Source organism: Homo sapiens, chromosome 1 (assembly GCF_000001405.40).
Source record: "Homo sapiens chromosome 1, GRCh38.p14 Primary Assembly".
Classification (NCBI taxonomy): domain Eukaryota; kingdom Metazoa; phylum Chordata; class Mammalia; order Primates; family Hominidae; genus Homo; species Homo sapiens.
Genome location: NC_000001.11, coordinates 24,598,992 through 24,618,306, shown reverse-complemented (window position 1 = coordinate 24,618,306; position 19,315 = coordinate 24,598,992). Strand labels below are relative to the sequence as shown.

The following is a 19,315-nucleotide window of genomic DNA, read 5'->3' as shown; positions in this document are numbered from 1 at the left end:
GCCCCAGCCTCCCAAGTAGCTGAGACTACAGGCATGCACCACCGTGTCAGCTTTTTTTTTTTTTTTTTTTTTTTTTTTTTTTTTTTTTTTTTGCTAGAGACAAGGTCTTCCTAAGTTGCCCAGGCTGGTCGTGGACTCTTGGTGTCAGGCAAATCCTCCTGCCTTGGCCTCCCACAATGCTGGGATTACAGGCATGAGCCACTGCCTCTGGCCCCTACTCAATCTTTTACTCTTAGTTTATATGTTATTTATTCTGGGGAGCCCTTCCTGATTCCCACTCCCAATCTATGAACCTCCAGACTGAGCTAGGTGCTTCAGCAAGAGGTGTATATAACACCTTGAACTTCCCCTATTGCAAAAGAAATTGTTCTATATTGTGGTTGTTTGTTTAATTGTCTGTCTTCTCTGGTAGAGGATGATATGGTTTGCTGTGTCCCTACCCAAATCTCATCTTGAACTGTAGCTCCCATAATTCCCATGTGTTGTGGGAGAGATCCAGTGGGAGGTAATTGAATTATGGGCACTGGTTTTTCCCATTCTGTTCTCATGATAGTGAATAAGTCTCATGAGATCTGATGGTTTTATAGAGGAGAGTTCCCCTGCACACACTCTCTTGCCTGCTGCCATGTAAGACATGACTTTGTTTCTCATTCTCCTTCCACCAGGATTGTGAGGCCTCCCCAGCCATGTGGAACTGTGAGTCAATTAAATCTCTTTCCTTTATAAATTACCCAGTCTCAGGTATGTCTTTATTAGCAGTGTGAGAACAGACTTAATACAGGGGATAAGTTGTGAGGACCACAGGTAAGTCAGGGACCATGTTTATCTTGCTCATCGTATTAACTCCAATGACTGGTATGCGCTTATAAAAGTAAGCAAGAAAGATGCTGGCCACAGCGGCACCCCTGTAGTCCCAGCTACTCAGGCAGGAGGATTGCTTGAGCTCAGGAGTTTGAAGGCATCATAGCAAGATCCCATTTCTTAAAAAAAAAAAAATAATAATAAGAAAGGAGGAACAAATGAACTGAATGTTTTTCCTTGACTTCAAAGTTTTACTCTTGCCTTTATTTATCCCACCTGACCTCTCTTTGCCACAATTCCTATCAATAAAATTTCTACAGAAACTACACATATACAGTCACTCAATTCATGATAAGGTGATGCTATAGTAACACAGGAAAAGAATAATCTTCTTGACAAATGATTCTTAGTTAATCAGATATCTATATGGAAGAAAGGAATATTGACCCCACCTCCCACACATGGCAAAATCAATTTCAGACACATCACATATCCAGATACAAAAAGTAAAACAATGTGACTTTTAAAAGAAAACATAGAAGAAAAATCTTTAGGTAGGCAATGATTTCTTAAGCAGAATACAAAGAGCACTAATTATAAAGGAAAACATTGATAACATTTAGATTAAAAATGTATTTTCCCTAAAAGAAACCATTAAGAGATATAAAAAGGCAGACACCGAATAGAAAAATAATAGAGAAAAAAAATCAACAAAACCAAAAATTGGATTCTTGTAACAATCAAGAAAATTGACAAAGCTTTAGCTCAATTGAACAAAGAAAAAAGGAGAAAAGATTCAAATTACTAAAATCAGGAATGAAAGAGACAGCATCACTACGATCTTTCAGAAATAAAAAGGATTATAAGGGAATAGTATAAAAAATTGTATGCCAAGAAACTAGCTAACCTAGATAAAATGAACAAATTCCTGAAAAGACACAAGTTACCAAAACTGACTTAAGAAGAAATAGAAAATCTGAATAGACCCATAACAAGTAAAAAGATTGCATTAGTAATAGTAGTTAAAACAACAACAACACACTTCTTACAAAGAAAAGCTCAGACCCAGATGGCTTCACTGGTAAATTCTACCAGATGTTTAAAGAATTAATACCAATGCTTCCAAAAAATAGAAAAGGAGAAAATGCTTCCCAACTCATTCTATGAGGCCAGTATTACTCTGATATGAAAACCAAACAAAGACATCATAAGAAAACTACAGACCTATATGTCTTATAAATATAGATGCAAAAATCCTCAACAAAAACATATGAAAATCAATAGAGGTAATATCCCATATTAATAGAATAAAATATGAAAACAATATGATTATCTTGATAAATATAGAAACAGCATTTGGCAAAATTCAACTCCCTTTCCTGATAAAAACACTCAAAGTAGAAACAGAAGTTAATTTCCTCAACCTAAAAAAGGCCATCTGCAGAAAAATTCATGGGTATCATCATATTTAATGATGAAAGACTGGTTGCTTTCCTCTAAGATCAGGAAGAAGACAAAAATGCCTGCTCTCATCACCTCTATTCAACCTAGTACTGGAAGTTCTAGCCAGAGCAATTCGGTAAGAAAAAGAAATAAAAGGTATCCAGATTGTAAAGGAAGAAGTAAAATGACCTCTATTTGCAAATGACATGATCTCATATGTAAAAACCCTAAAGATCCCACAAAAAACAAAAAACCTGTTAGGGCTAATTTTAAAAATTCCTCAATATTGCAGTATACAAAATCAACAGGCAAAATTAGTTGCATTTCTATGCACTAGCAATGAAAAATTCAAAAAGGAAATTAAAACATTTATGATAGTATCAAAAAGCATAAAATACTTAGAGAAATATTTAGCAAAAAAGGTGAAAGATTTGTACACTGAAAACCAAAATTTCTTTGCAAAAATTAAAGAAGACCAAAATAAATAAAAATACATCCATGTTCATGGAACAAAAGACTTAATGTTATTAAAACGGCAATACTACCCAATTTGATCTACAAATTCAACTTAATTTCTATCAAAATCCCAGCTGCCATTTTTGCAAAATTGACAAGCTGATACTAAAATTCATACAGAGATACAAGAAACCTAGAATAGCCAAAATAATCTTTTTCTTTTCTTTTTTATTTTTTTTGAGACGGAGTTTTGCTCTTGTCCCCCAGGCTGGAGTGCAATGGTGTGATCTCAGCTCACTGCAACCTCCGCCTCCTGGGTTCAAGCGATTCTCCTGCCTCAACCTCTGAAGTAGCTGGGATTACAGGCAGGCACCACCATGCCCGGCTAATTTTTAGTAGAGTTGGGGTTTCACTGTGTTAGCCAGGCTGGTCTCAAACTCCTGACCTCAAGTGATCCCTCCACCTTGGCCTCCCAAAGTGCTAGGATTTCAGGCATGAACCACCACGCACGGCCCAAAATAATCTTGAACAAGGAAAACAAAGAGGGAGGACAGGAAAAAGTTTGAGGACTCACACTTCCTGATTTCCAAACTTATTATAAATCAACACAGTGTGATAATGGTAGAAGAATAGAAATATAGATCATGGAACAGAATTCAGAGTCCAGGTATAAACCCTCCTATTTATGGTCAACTGTTTTTTGACTAGAGTACCAAGATAATTCAATGGGAAAAAATAGTCTTTTCAACATACGGTGCTGGGAGAAGTGAATATCTACATGCAAAAGGATAAAGCTGGTCCCCTATCTCATACCATATATAAAAATTAACTCAATAACTTGGTCCTCAGTTTGATCAGAATAAAAAGAAAAAAATTAACTCAAAATGGATCATAGACCAAATTTTAAGAGCTAAAACTAGAAAACACTTACAAGAAAACATGGGAGTAAACCTTCATTACTTTGGATCAGGCAATGATTTCTGAGATATGAAATCAAAAGCACAAGTGACAAAAGACAAAAATAGATGAATTGGGCTTTGTCAAAATTAAAAATGTTTGGGCCGGACATGGTGGCTCACGCCTGTGATCCCAACACTTTGGGAGGCTGAAGCGGGCAGACCACCTGAGGTCCGGAGTTTGAGACCAGCCTGACCAACATGGTGAAACCTTGTCTGTACTAAAAATACAAAAATTAGATGGGAGCGGTGGTGCGCGCCTGTAATCCCAGCTACTCAGGAAGCTGAGGCAAGAGAATTGCTTGAACCTGGGAGGTGGAGGTTGCAGTGAGCCAAGATTGTGCCATTGTTCTCCAGCCTGGGAGACAGAGCAAGACTCTGTCTCAAAAAAAAAAAAAAAAAATAATAATAATAATAATAATAATAATTTAAAACATTTGTGCTGCAAAGGACATCACCAAGAAAGTGAAGAAAAGACAACCCACAGAACAGGAGAAAATGTTTGCAAATTATATATCTTATAAGGGACTTGTATCCAGAATATAGAAAGAATTCTTACAAGTCAAAACAACAAAAATCAAATAACCCAATTTAAAAATGAGCAAAGAAGTTGCAATAGACATTTCTTCAAAAATGATATAAAAATCACCAATCTGTACATGAAAAAGATGTTCAATATCATTCACTAGGGAAATGCAAATCAAAACCACCATGAGATACCATTTCTTACTTATTAGGATGGCTAGAATAGAAAAGATGGACAATAACAAGTGTTAATGAGGAAGCGGAGGAATGAGAACCCTCATACATTACTGGTGACGATATTAAATGGTGGCGCCACTTCAGAAAACAGTTTGGCATTTCCTCAAAAGGTTAAACATAGAGTTATCATATCCTGCAGCAATTCCTCTCCTAAGGTATATGCCCAAGAGAATTAGAGCCTATGTCTGCACAAAAACTTGTACATAATGTTCACGGCACCATTATTATTATTATTATTTGTTTATTTTTGAGATGGAGTCTCACTTTGTCACCCAGGCTGGAGTGCAGTGGCACAATCTCGGCTCACTGCAACCTCAGCTTCCCGGGTTCAAGCAATTCTCCTGCCTCAGCCTCCCGAGTAGCTGGAATTACAGGCATGGGCCACCATGTCCAGCTAATTTTTGTTTTTTTTTTTTTTTTTTTTTAGTAGAGAAGGAGTTTCACCATGTTGGCCAGGCTGGTTTCAAACTCCTGACTTCAAGTGATCCGCCTGCCTCAGCCTCCCAAAGTACTGGAATTACAGGTGTAAACCACCGCGCCCGGCCTCACAACACCATTATTTATAATAGCCCAACAGTGGAAACAACCCTGTTGTTCACCTGATGAATGGATAAACAAAATGTGATATATCTATATAATGGAATATTATTCGGCCATAAAAAGGAATGAAATAGTGATACATGCAACAACATAGATGAACCTTGAAAAGTTATGTTAACCAGAAGAAGCCAGTCACAAAAGACCACATAGTGTGATTCCATTACATGAAATGTCCACAATAGGCAAATCCATAGAGACAAAAAGTAGAGTAGTGGCTGCCAGGGGCTGGGGAGAGAGGGCAGTGGGAAGTGACTGCTAACGGGCACTGGAGGTTCTTTTGGGGATGATAAATTTGATAGTGGTGATGGCTGCACAAGTCTGTGAATATATTAAAACCACTGAATTGGGCCCTTTACAGAGGTGAACTTTATAAATAAATTCTATCTCAATAGAGCTATTTTTTTTCTTTTAAAGGCAAGCCAGAGGTGGCTCATGCCTGTAATCCAAGCACTTTGGAAGGCCAAGGCAGACGGATCACTTGAGATCAGGCGTTTGGGACCATCCTGGCCAACGTGGCGAAAACCCGTCTCTACTAAAAATACAAAAATTAGCTGGGTGTGGTGGTGCATGCCTGTAATCCCAGCTACTTGGGAGGCTGAGGCAGGAGAATCACTTGAACCCGGGAAGCGGTGGCCGCAGTGAGCCGAGATCACAGCACTGCACTCCAGCCTGGGCTACAAATGGAAACTGTCTCAAAAAATAAAAAAAAAAAATAAAAGAACTTAAAAAGGCAAGCTATAGGACAACAAAGGACTTATTAATATATCCAGAATGTGGCCGGGTGTGGTGGATCACACCTGTAATCCCAGCACTTTGGGAGGCTGAGGTGGGCAAATCGCAAGGTCAAGAGATCAAGACCATCCTGGCCAACATGGTGAAACCCTGTCTCTACTAAAAATACAAAAAAAAAAAAAAAAATTAGCCAGGTGTGGTGGTGCGTGCCTGTAGTTCCAGTTACTTGGCAGGCTGAGGCAGGAGAATCGCTTGAACTTGGGAGGCAGAGGTTGCAATGAGCCGAGGTTGTGCCACTGCACTCCAGCCTGGGTGACAGAGTGAGACTCTACACCCCCCCCAAAAAAGAAAAATATCTACAAATAATAATAAAAATGGAAGATAACCAAATACAAATATATGAACTGAGCTGATCACAGTGGCTCATGTCTGTAATCCCAGCTACTCGGGAGGCTGAGGCAGGAGGATTGCTTGAGGTCAGGAGTTCAAGGCCATCCTGAGCAACATAACAAGACTTTGTATTAAAAAAAAAGTAAAACCAAAAAATAGACTGAAAAGTAACTTCTTAAAAGATGAAATTCAGTTGGCCAATGACATAAGAAAAAGTGATCAATTCCATTAATCATCAGGGAATACAAATTAAAGCCACAATGAGAGACCATGGCACACATATCAGGATGACTGAAATTAAAGATTTTGGAGATATCCTAGTGTCAGTGAAGGATGGGGAGCAACTGGAATTCTCATACGTTGCTAATGGGAATGGATATTGGTACAACTCTTTGGAGAACTGTTTGTCTCTGTTGACTAAGGCTGAGTATACACATATCTTATGACCTAGCAATTACTCTACTGGAAATGTTCCCAACAGAAACATATATACAATCACCAGAATATTCCTAGTAGAACCACTGGACAATCACCAAAATGTTCATAGTAGCACTATTGATTACAGACCCAAACTAGAAACAACTTTTAGATATATCAGACAGCAGAATGGATACATAAAACCTACTTATATTCACAAAATGAAATACTACTGCAAGGAGAATGAATTATCTTCAACTACATTGACAACAGGAATAAATATTAAGAATACAATGTTATAAGAAAGAAACCAGAAACAGAAGAGTTGACATTGTATTATTCAACCTGTAGACAAGGTCGTTCTAGGGTGGTAAAAGTCAAGAGAGTGTTTACCTTTGTCAGAGGTGAACAGAGTAGGAGGAAAAGGAGGGTATCTGGGGGCTGATAATATTTTATTTCTTCATCTTTATGCTGGTTACATGGGTGTTGTCAGTTTGTGAAAATATTTTGAGCTGCAGATTTTTTCAAGCTGTGTGTTTGTGTGTCTGTGTGTGTGTGTGTATTGCACTTAAATTTAAAAAAACACTTTACTTAGAAGCATCCTAACCATTCTCCCAGATTAATTTTAAATACTCCCCCCACCAACTTTTTTTTTTGAGATGGAGAGTTGCTCTGTTGCCCAGGCTGGAGTGCAGTGGTGCGATCTCGGCTCACTGCAACCTCTACCTCCCGGGTTCAAGCCATTCTCCTGCCTCAGACTCCCAAGTAGCTGGGACTACACGCATACGCCACCATGCCTGGCTAATTTTTGTGTTAGCAAGTGATCTGCCCACCTCGGCCTCTCAAAGTGCTGGGATTACATGTGTGAGCCACCGCACTCAGCCAATACCCCTTCATTAACATTCACCAAGTCACAAAGTCTCTGGATACCTACAGTTGGAGACAACTCTACTTTCTCCAAGATTCCACAGCACTTGGTAGAGTCCTTGGATGACTCAGCCTCATCTAGAAGCATCTGTAGGGAAAAAACAAGAGCTTTGGAGTCCTGGGTTCTAGCGCGAGCCACTTCCCAGGTGGGTGACCATGAGCAAATTCCCCACAGCTGTTCAGTTCTTAGCTACACACAGCAAGAAGTGATTCTGCTGATATAAGGGGCTCAGGTAGTTGCTGGAATCTCCAGAAGACCCAAGCCAGGCTCAGAGGTATGCTGCAGGTGTGTCTAAATCACACTAAAGAGCTCGTCTGGTGCAGGCACCATTGCTGTTGCTGTGGGCATCACTCACATAGCCAACCCTATGGACACTCAGTAAGGTACTGCTACTAGAATCCCTGATATAGCTGCCTCTTGAAATGGAGAGTGCCATATACATGCCACCAGGACAGATTCTGCACAGTTCCTGCCCTTTTATGTTACCAACTTTTAGATCCAAAGTCCATGGCAGGAGTGTCTGATCAGTCTGATTAGCAGAAGTCCAGGTCATGTCCCTCACCCTCGCTGCAAGGGATTCTGGCAAAAGAAGTATCTGGCCTCTTCAGCTTTCATAGCAGGAGGTAGTCTGGCTTCTTAATGTAGAGTATTTCCCAAACATGACAACAGTCACCAAAAGAATGACAAATGTTCATTGCATCACTCAAGGACAAGTTACCTTGCTGAACCTGTTTCCTGATCCATAAAATAGGATAATGATGGCTCCTACGGATAGGAGTTATAAGGATTAAAGTTGCTGATGGTTATAAAGGGCCTATTCTCTGCCTGGCACACAGTAGGAGCTTCATTTATGGTAAACATCATTACTGGTGTTTTAGGGTTCATTCTAAGGTCTCCAACAATTCCAGCAGTCCCCATCCTTGGCATCTCAGTGCCTCTTGTGTTCTAACTACAGGCTGTGAAGTGGGATTTCTTTTGTCATATCTGAGCAAGTTAACAAGTTTTCTAACTCACAGAAATGTCTGTTGACAGCCAGCCCATCTTCAGTCTTTAAAAGTGATGAAGCAAATGACACAATGTTTGAAAAGACTTCCCCTTAGGACTCTTTTCTTTTTTTTAAAAAGACAGATTCTTGCTCTGTTGCCCAGGCTGGAGTGCAGTGGGACGATCTTGGCTCACTGCAAGCTCCGCCTCCTGGGTTCTAGCGATTCTCCTGCCTCAGTCTCCCAAGTAGCTGGGATTATGGGTGCCCGCCACCTCACTTGGCTACTTTTTGTATTTTTGGTAGAGACAGGGTTTCTCCATGTTGGCCAGGCTGGTGTCAAACTCCTAACCTCAAGTGAGCTGTCCACCTCAGCCTCCCAAAGTGCTGGGATTACAGGCATGAGCCACCACGCCTGGCCATCTTAGGACTCTATTTACTTTGTCAGGGAAAGGAAATTTTAGAAAAGGTATTTGTTAGCTCTAAACTTAACTGAAATAAACTCAACACATTTGATTTAAACCTTTTTATTGTCAGATATTTTTCTTTAAGCATTTATTAGCTTTGATTGTTTCAGTGGCCAAATAAGGCAGCATCTGCTAAGAAAGGCACCTCATCAGAAACAAAATACATAACCACGTGGTGAGATCCCTGCATGAGACCAGCTGCTAACTCCTTGAGAGCAGCAATTGTGTCTTAATGTACTTAGTAGCACCTCAACTTGCACATAGGAACCCTTCTTACAGGATGTTTATTGAATCATCTTCATTAGTCAAAAACGAGACACTCAAATCCTTTTATTTGACTCGCCCTCACCACTCCATCTCCCCTTCTTCCCTCCAACTCCAAGCCTTCATTTAGCAAAAGAACATATACCAGAGGGTAACCCTTAGAAGACTGCACTGTGGGCAGAAGAGTCTAGTTTTAGGGTTGAAATATGCTTTGAGACAGGGTCTGGCTCTGTCACCCCGGCTGGAGTGCAGTGGCGCGATCTCAGCTCACTGCAACCTCTGCCTCCCAGGCTCAAGCCATCCTCCTACCTCAGCCTCCCAAGTAGCTGGGAATACAGGCGTGCACTACCACGCTTGGTTAATTTTTGTATTTTTTGTAGAGACGAGGTTTCGCCGTGTTGCCCAGGCTAGTCTTGAACTCCTGGGCTCAAGTGACTGACTGCCTCTGACTCCCAAAGGGCTGGGATTACAGGGGTGCACCACCACAGCTGCCCCAAAACAACTTTTTCAAGCCGAATATGTTTAGGGGAGCATATTTGTTTATGGCTTGAGCCCTCAAAGAAATGGCTTTGCTCTGGTTAGATGCCATTCTACCCCTTGCTCCTTGGGCCTAAGTAGTAGCTTGAATGAAGCAGGAATCCTTAGCACTTGGATGTGTTGAGAAGGGGCTCTTTTGGCCGTGAGCATGGATGCCCAAAGGAGTTAGAAGTGGCTTTTCCCTCACCTTCAGCCTGGAAGCCAGAACCCTGATCTCTACTCAAACACATGGACAAACCCGTACTCCCCTTGTTCAGCCCATAAAGAATCTGTGCTGCTTTGAGCTGGGCCAGCAGAGGAGTGTGACTTCACAAAAAAGACAGACTTTGGAGTCAAGAGACCTGGTTTTGAGTCTTGTCTTTGTGACTTACTAGCTGTGTGACTTTGGAAAAGTACTTTGTTTTCTTTCTCTTTGAATCAGAAATTATCATCTGTTTTGGAAAAAATAATTCCTCCCCAGGTTTTTGGGAAAATTTAATCCTATGAGATAATTTATGTGAAAGCATCTTACAAAGTCCTTGACACTTGGTGGATATTTAAACACAGTAGGAAGAAATAATGACCAGAGAGGAAGAATGTGCCAGTATTTCTCCAGAGCTATTCCACAGAGTATTTTTACAGTGGGATATCATGAGCTGTGTGACCCTGGGTAAGACCTCTTACCTCCCTGACTCTTGATTTCCCCTCATAATGGATTTTTCTTTTTTTGAGATGCAGTTTCACTCTGTTGCCCAGGCTGGAGTGCAGTGGCACGATCTTGGCTCACTGCAACCTCTGCCTTCCAGGTTCAAGTGATTCTCATGCCACAGCCTCCCTAGTAGTGGGATTACAGGTGCATGCCACCATGCCCAGCTAAATTTTGTATTATTAGTAGAGACAGGGTTTTGCCATGTTGGCCAGGCTGGTCTCAAACTCCTGACCTCAAGTGACCCGCCTGCCTCAGCCTCCCAAAGTGCTGGGATTACAGGCATGAGCCACGACACCTGGCCTCAGAAGGGATTTCTGACCCCAAGAGGGAGAGACTCCTAAAATTTGAGGTTAAATGTCAAAGTGTGTCACTTTCTTTAACAGAATAGAGATTTATTACCTTGTTTCCAAGATGCCATCAATTATAAGATCACAAGTTTTTGAGAGGAAGTAAAGAACTACAATTATATTAATGAACCCATCAATTGCAAGATATGTTCTGATTTCAGAATCATTAAAATGTGAAGAAATGTCTATCTTGCAATTGAAAAAAAAGCCTATAATAATAATAATGTTGGCTCCTAGGCTGGGCACCATAGTCCATGCCTGTAATCCCAGCACTTTGGGAGGCCAAAGCAGAAGGATCACTTGAGGCCAGGGGTTCAAGACCAGCCTGGGCAACACAGCGAGACCCCATCTCTACAAAAATAAAAAATAAAAAAATTAGCCTGGTGAGGTGACACATACCTGTAGTCCCAGCTACTCTGGAGGCTGAGGAGGGAGCATCCCTTGAGCCCAGGAGTTCAAGGCTGCAGCGAGCTGTGAGCGTGCCACTGCACTCCAGCCCAGGTGACAGATTGAGGCTCTGTCTCAAAAAAAAAAAAAAAAGAAAAGAAAAAAGAAAAGAAAAAGAATCCTGGTTCCCATTTATTAAGCATCTCCTGGGTGCCAGGCGCTATACTCCAGATGTTTTCCTAAGTCCTTCACTTGTTATAGTGCCCCAATGAGGCAGGTGTTATCATTTCCACTTCATGGTTAGGAAACTGAATATAAAGAGGTTGAGTCACTTTTCCAAGGCCACACAACCAGGAAGTAGGGCTTGGATGGTAGGACTTCTTAATTCCAGATACTTTCTCTTCTTGGTAGATTGTTCTCCAGGCTAAGGAGTCACAGACGAGGTTGCTATAGAATAGAAATGGGTTGTGAATGTGTTGCTTTGAACATGTCTTGAATCTGCAAGGTGACCAGGAAGGACAAAGGTAACATAGATAGAGTTGTAATCTAATTAATCTCCAAATACTGGTCCTTGGAGGGAAGGCATTAACAGGACAGTCAGCGTGCTCAGAATCCAGATAAAGGGGAGCCAAAGACCAAGACCGTCAGGGTTGATACAGCCCAGAGTGGGAGAAGGACCCTGATCAGCCACCAGGATCATTCCAGGCCCACGGACAACACAACAAGCTCCTACCCTAGAGGCCACTATTCTGCAGAGTCACCCTATTCCATCACTGACTCTTTACTAATGAAGCAGAAATCTTTTGAGGATAATTTAGTTCTTCTTGCAACCTTTCTTCAAGAGGGGAAAATGTGCTGAGCAATTGTCATGAGCCAGCAGGCAGAGATGTAGTACTGGAACAAGTTATACGTTAACAAGGTTTTCTGGTTAGTTAGTCCAAGTTAGTTCCCCTGTGCCTGGTTATGGGATTGAATGTTTTGCTCTGTGAAGCAGTGGATACGGCGCTTCATCTGATATGAACCCCGTGACAGATCCTATTGTGATACTCTCAGCAGTGCTCCCTGACACCTGGCTCCTGGGCTATCTGTCTATCTGTCTAACTACAGTGTGGGGGAAAGCCAAGCCCACATTGGTGGATTCCCAACATAGCTCTACCTCATCAGATGACAAAAGAATGTTCTGCAGCTTTTTGGTGGGGTGGCGGCAGGGATGTGGACACAGTTGGGGTAGGGCAGGGCAGACAAGGTTGAGGATTGCTGGAAGCATCAGAGATTGCGTCAAAGATGTCTCTGTCGACCTGACCAGAAGAAGCTCATTGTGAAGCTGCCAGAGAGTGTGCCTCTGGGTCTTGACTCTGGAGAGGCTCTTTGGACAGTGGTGGAGATAGCGCCAGGGTAGAGGTCATCGCGTCTCCACCTGGACGTCAACAGGACTGAAGGTCACAGTTGCTGGGTGTTGGCTGCCGTTGCTGTTTGGGCCCACGGCAGAAGGGGCGGTTGGCTTGGGGCCCTTGGGCTCTAGTTCCCGCCTCGTCCTCATTTTCCTGTAGGGAGATAATGTGCACATGGTTGAGTCTTTCCCCTGGTATGCCGCGGGGAATGGGCTCTGCGACTACAGTTCTGGCCAACAGATTAATGTAGATTAATGTAGACATTAAATCACATTGCTTACTTGCCACCACAGAATTTTACAACTGGAAGTGACCTTAGGCATCAGCTAGTCTGCCCTTCAATTTTTTCACTTAGATCAGATATTTAATTTTATTTGTTTCTATTAAGGAATGAGTAAGATGTCAGAGGTGGCTATATAAAAGATAAAAATAAAGATATTACATTTTTTATGTTCAAAGTTGTAGCATGTATTACATTTTCCAGCCTCATTATGCTTGCTAAGTTTATTGCTAGAAATATTTAAGAACTTTTTACATAATTGAAAAGAGAATGTACTGAAAACATTTATCTTGGCTTCATTTAATATGCCGTAAAATTCAATAATGAACAATAATTATTAATTCTTTTTTTTTTTCTTTTTTTGAGACAGAGTCTGGCTCTGTCACCCAGGCTGGAGTGCAGTGGAGCGATCTTGCCTCACTGCAACCTCCGCCTCCTGGGTTCAAGCGATTCTCCTGCCTCAGCCTCCGGAGTAGCTGGGATCACAGGCACCTGTCACCATGCCCAGCTAATTTTTGTATTTTTTAGTAGAGATGGGGTTTCAACATGTTGGTCAGGCTGGTCTCGAACTCCTGACCTCAGGTGATCCACCCACTTCGGCCTCCCAAAGTGCTGTGATTACAGGCATGAGCCACCATGCCCAGCCAAATTTTTGTATTTTTAGTGTAGATGGGGTTTCACCATGTTGGCCAGGCTGGTCTTGAACTCCTGGCAAGTGATCCTCCCCACTTGGCCTCCCAAAGTGCTGGGATTGCAGGTGTGTGCCACTATGCCTGGCCAACAATTATGAATTCTCATGTCTTCATGGTATTTCATCTTGCTGACATATATATATATATATATATATATATATATATATATATATATATATATTTTTTTTTTTTTTTTTTTTTTTTTTTTTTTTTAGACAGTCTTACCCTGGTTGCCCAGGCTGAAGTGCAGTGGCACAATCTCAGCTCACTACAGCCTCAACATCCCAGGCTCAGGTGATTCTCCCACCTCAGCCTCCCAAATAAGTGGAACTACAGGTGCACACCACCATGCCTGGCTAACTTTTTGTATTTTTAGTAGAGACAGGGTTTCACTATGTTGCCCAGGCTGGTCTTGAACTCCTGGATTCAAGCAATCCACCTGCCTCAGCCTCCTGGGGTGCCGGGATTATAGGCGTGAGCCACTGCACCCAGCCTTATAATTATTTGTTAAAAATGTCAAATCTTCAGGGAAGTTGCACAAATAGTACAGTTAATACTCTAATACTCTTGTTACAATTTGAATGTGGCCCCCAAAAAAGCCTGCATTGGAAACTTAATCCCTAATTCAACAGTATTGAAAGCTGGGGCCTAATGGGAGGAGTTTAGGTCATAAGGACTCCACCCTCATGAATCCATTAATGCCAATTATAAAAGGACTTCTTAGGCTGTGAATTTGATCTCTTGCTCTCTCTGGCTCTCTCTTTGCCCTTCTATCGTGGATAACAGAGCAAGAAGGCCCTTGCCAGATACTGGCCCCTCAATATCTTAAACTTCCCTGCCTCCAGAACCGCAAGAAATAAATCTCTTTTCTGTATAATTTACCCAGTCTCAGATATTCTGTGATAGCAGCACAGCATAGTCTAAGACAGCCCTTCACAGAACAATTGACTAATTACTAACAATTTGCCACATCTGCTTTTTTTCTCTCTATTACTTTCTCTTTCTCTATTGTCACACACAGTTTTTTAGAACCGTGAACCATTTGTGAGTTGCAGGCATCATGCCACTGCACTCCTAAATACTCCTAAGAACAAAGACATTCTGCAATGTATCTATAATGCAATTATCAAGCTTTGAGACTCTTCATTTTAAACATGACAACATACAGGCAGGAGGAGGTTAAATAACTTGCTTGATTTTGACAAACCAAAGACTACTGAACCCAGGTTTCTCACTTCCCAGCTCAGGCATCAGTGCAAACAGGGTGGGTTGAGTGGATTCTCCATTCAGATTACGACCTAAAAAAGAGGTTCAGAGCTCCAGCAACAATGGAGAGAAATAAAGAGTAGACATTGGGGTTTGATGCCACTCCTGGTTTGGGATAGACCCAAATTGTAATATCCTAAATTTTTTTTTAAATAATTTTTTAATGTTATTATTATTATTACATGTAATTGTGGGAGTATTTTCTTTGAAACCAGATGAACTAGGTTTGAATCCCAACTGTGCTAATTAGGGCTGAACAACCTTGGGCATATGATTTAGTCTTTCTGTATCTGTTTCTATACCTACAAAATTGAGGATAATAGTAGTACCCACCTCGTGCGGTTGTTAGATGAGGATTAAATGCATTAACACATGTAAGGAGCTTAGAACCATGCCTGGCATGTGGTATGAGATCAATATATGTTAGCTACTTTTATTTTATTTATTATTTATTTATTTTATTTTATTTTGTTTATTTTTTGAGATGGAGTCTCACATTGTCATCCAGGCTGGAGTGCAGTGGTGCGATCTCAGCTCACTGCAACCTCCGCCTCCCGGGTTCAAGTGATTCTCCTGCCTCAGCCTCCCAAGTAGCTGGGATTACAGGCACCCGCCACCATGCCCAGCTGATTTTTTGTATTTTCAGTAGAGATGGGGTTTCACAATGTTCAAACTCCTGACCCCGTGATCTGCCCGCCTCAGCCTCCCAAAGTGCTGAGATTACAGGTGTGAGCCACCACGCCCGGCCTAGCTACCTTTATTTTAAAAACTTTTTTTTTTTTCCAGAGACAGGGTCTTGCTATGTTGCCCAAGCTGGTCTCAAACTCTGGGGCTCAAGTGATCCTCCTGCCTCAGCCTCCTGACTAGCTGGGGTTACAGGCAGAGCCACCACACCTAGCAGCTCCCTTTATAAATAATATTCATATTCTTTTTTTTTTTTTTTTTTTTTTTGAGATGGAGTCTCGTTCTGTCGCCCAGGCGGGAGTGCTGTGGCGCGATCTCCGCTCACTGCAAGCTCCGCCTTCCGGGTTCACGCCATTCTCCTGCCTCAGCCTCCCGAGTAGCTGGGACTACAGGCGCCCACCACTGCGCCCGGCTAATTTTTTGTATTTTTAGTAGAGACGGGGTTTCACCGTGGTCTCGATCTCCTGACCTCGTGATCCGCCCGCCTCGGCCTCTCAAAGTGCTGGGATTACAGGATAATATTCATATTCTTATAAAAACAATGCGTGTTTACCATTCCTCAAAAATTAGGAACATCCCCCTCCCAGCAAAAACTAACAATGCCATCATGTAGACACACCAGTTGTTAAGACCTTGCTGTGTTGCTTTCCCTTGGATATGTGTATGGGTAACCTATGTGTATGATTGAGATTACCATGTATATATAGTTTTGTAAACTTTGACAATATATTGGAAACAGCTTTCCTTATTAATCAGTGCACTTCTAATACATATATATATGATTTTTTTTTTTTTTGAGACGGAGTTTCGCTCCGTCACCCAGCATGGAGTGCAGTGGCGCGATCTCGGCTCACTGCAAGCTCCGCCTCCCAGGTTCACGCCATTCTCCTGCCTCAGCCTCCCGAGTAGCTGGGACTACAGGCGCACGCCGCCACACCCGGCTAATTTTTTCGTATTTTTAGTAGAGACGGGGTTTCACCATGTTAGCCAGGATGGTCTCCATCTCCTGACCTCGTTATCTGCCCATCTTGGCCTCCCAAAGTGCTGGGATTACAGGCGTGAGCCACCGTGCCTGGCCCATATGCAAATATATTTGTATAGACAGGGTCTTGCTATGTTGCCCAGGCTGGACTCAAACTCCTGGACTCAAGCCATCCTCCCGCCTCAGTCTTCTGAGTAGCTGGGATTACAGACCACACTACCACACCCGGCCACGATACCTTTTTAAAGAAATGGCTTCTAGGTCTTCTATGATATGTTTTATTTATAGTTTTTTAATTTTGATTTCTTCCCTGAAAAGAATTACCTTCCATCAAGGTTGTGACTGAAGGTAATTACACATAAGGTGATAACATATAAAATTTATTTTTTGTATGATCAAATTATATTCTTTTATTTCCCCTTATACGTCTCCAGAAAGCAGAGTCAGGGTACATGCTTCCAGTATTTGTCATCTCAAATACTTATGTGGCCAGCTCATACAACCTAGAAGAGAGATCTCTGAGAGAAGAGGTCTGAACATTCCTCTATTATCTGTAAATTACAAACAAATGTTTACCACAGTGCTCAAGACCATTATCATTGTCATTATCATTACTACGTTTAAAAAATATTTCTCCAAGTACAAAAATAGTCACTTTGAAATTCCTTCAACAGAACAGACTGCAAAAAGGATCCCCAAGGGTTAGAGCATTTACTAAAGGCTGAGGGATACTGCCAGGCACACGACGGACACCCATATATCACCTCCCATTTATTCTGATGTCACTGAAGGGACCGTCCAGGCAGTTCCAAAGCCCAGGGCATCCGTACCTGTTGTACATCTTCAGCAGGATCAGAACCACGGTGAAGATGATGATGACAACCACCACAACGGCAGCAACAATGGCTCCAGAACCTACAGAAAGGAGAGAAGCAGAGACCGTGAATGTGCAAACTGAACGCAGACCAGGAGGGCGCCCTGCTGTGGCACCTGACATCCTCACTAGGTCAAGGGAGGCAGGAGAGAAGGCAACATCCTGGGACACTCCCAGTTGACCCCAGGACAGTCACATCTGGAGTGGCTGTGCACCCCTGCCCCGAGCTGCGCTTGAAGGACCCTGTCCTTAGCACATCATCTGCCAAAACTCTGCCTTAGGCAAAGTCCTGGTTCTTATCAGCTCCAGCATGCCTCAAACTTCTGGGAAACAAACAAACAACATACCCTCCCCTCCTTTTGATAATGCAAAAGTAGCATGTGATTTTTGTAGAAAATAATTTTGAAAATATAAATATGTGCAAAAAAGAGGGGGTCGTTGAAGAACTCACTGGCCCAACAACTGCTGATCGTCTGCATATCTACATTCACCAATGTGATCGTGTTGATGCATGGTAAATATCTATCAGCCAGGTGCAGTGGCTCATGCCTGCAATTCCAGTACTTTGAGAGGATGGGGTGGGAGGATCACTTGAGCCCAGGAGTTCGAGACTAGCCTGGGCAACATAGCAAGATCCTGTTTCTAGAAATAAAAAATTAAAAATTAGCCAGGTGTGGTGGCATGCACCTGTAGTGCCAGCTACTTGGGAGGCTGAGGAGGGAGGATCTCTTGAGCCTGGGAGGTTGAGGCTGCAGTGAGCCAAGATTGTGCCACTGCACTCCAGCCTGGGTGACAGAGCAAGACTCTATCTCAAAAAATAAAAATAAATACATAAATAAAAATCTGGCTAGGTGCAGTGGCTCACATCTGTAATCCCAGTACTTTGTGAGGCTGGGGGGTGAGGATCACTTGAGCCCAGGAATTCCAGACCAACCTGGGCAAGATGGCAAGACTCTATCTCTGTATAAAAAATTAAAAAAAAATACCCGTTATAGTTTTTAAATAATTTAATACTTATATGTTTCAATATCTGTCTTAAAGGAAATATTCCTAAATATGGAAAAATATGTACTTGATAAAAATGGAACCATGGCCAGGTGTGGTGGCTCACACCTGTAATCCCAGCACTTTGGGAGGCCAAGGGGGGGGGGGGGGGGGGGGCGGATCACGAGGTCAGGAGTTCGAGACCAGCCTGACCAACATGGGGAAACCCTGTCTCTACTAAAAATACAAAAATTAGCCGGGCGTGATGGCATGTGCCTGTAATCCCAGCTACTCAGGAGGCTGAGGCAGGAGAATTGCTTGAACCCGGGAGGCAGAGGTTTCAGTGAGCCGAGATCGTGCCACTGCACTCTAGCCTGGGCGACAGAGCAAGACTCCTTCTCAAAAACAAACCAAAAAAAAGGAGCCATGTTTCACATACTGTTTTATAACAATATCATAATCATCTTTCTGTTTAATTATATATTTTTCTTCATGACTTTCCATGGCTGCATAGTACTCCATTGTTTGGGTGTACCACAATCTGTTCACCAATTCTCTATTGAGAATACTTATGTTTTCAGTTTTTCACTATTAAAAACAAGGCTGTGATGATGTCCTTGTAGTTTAATGTCTTAGACTCTAATTTCAATATTAGTTCTCAGCTCCAATGTCACACTCCAATTTTAATTTCTTTCTTGTTTTTTTTTTTTTTTTTTGAGAGGGAGTTTCACTCTTGTTGCCCAGGCTGGAGTGCAGTGGCACGATCTCAGCTCACTGCATCCTCTGCCTCCCGGGTTCAATCGATTCTCCTGCCTCAGTCTCCAGAGTAGCTGGGATTACAGGTGCCTGCCATTACACCTGGCTAATTTTAGCATTTTTAATAGAGACGGGGTTTCACCATGTTGGCCAGGCTGGTCTTGAACTGCTGACCTCAAGTGATCTGCCCCCCTCAGCCTCCCAAAGTGCTGGGATTGTAGGCGTGAGCCACCACACCCGGCCTCCAAT

At 42.2% G+C, this 19,315-nt stretch overlaps 1 protein-coding gene across 3 annotated transcripts in view; it reads right to left on the bottom strand.

Annotated features, from left to right (window-relative positions):
• Positions 1-8,978: 8,978 nt before the first annotated feature.
• The window catches only part of NCMAP (non-compact myelin associated protein), a 53,242-nt gene continuing 42,905 nt past the window's right edge, over positions 8,979-19,315 (bottom strand). For all 3 annotated transcript variants that reach the window (NM_001010980.5, XM_011541463.3, XM_005245872.4), the window contains exons 3-4: positions 17,283-17,367; positions 8,979-12,701 (exon numbers count right to left, since the gene is read on the bottom strand). In NM_001010980.5, the coding sequence (NP_001010980.1) occupies positions 12,560-12,701; positions 17,283-17,367 (227 nt within the window). In that variant the 3' untranslated portion in view covers positions 8,979-12,559. The remainder of the gene's footprint in view (positions 12,702-17,282; positions 17,368-19,315) is intronic.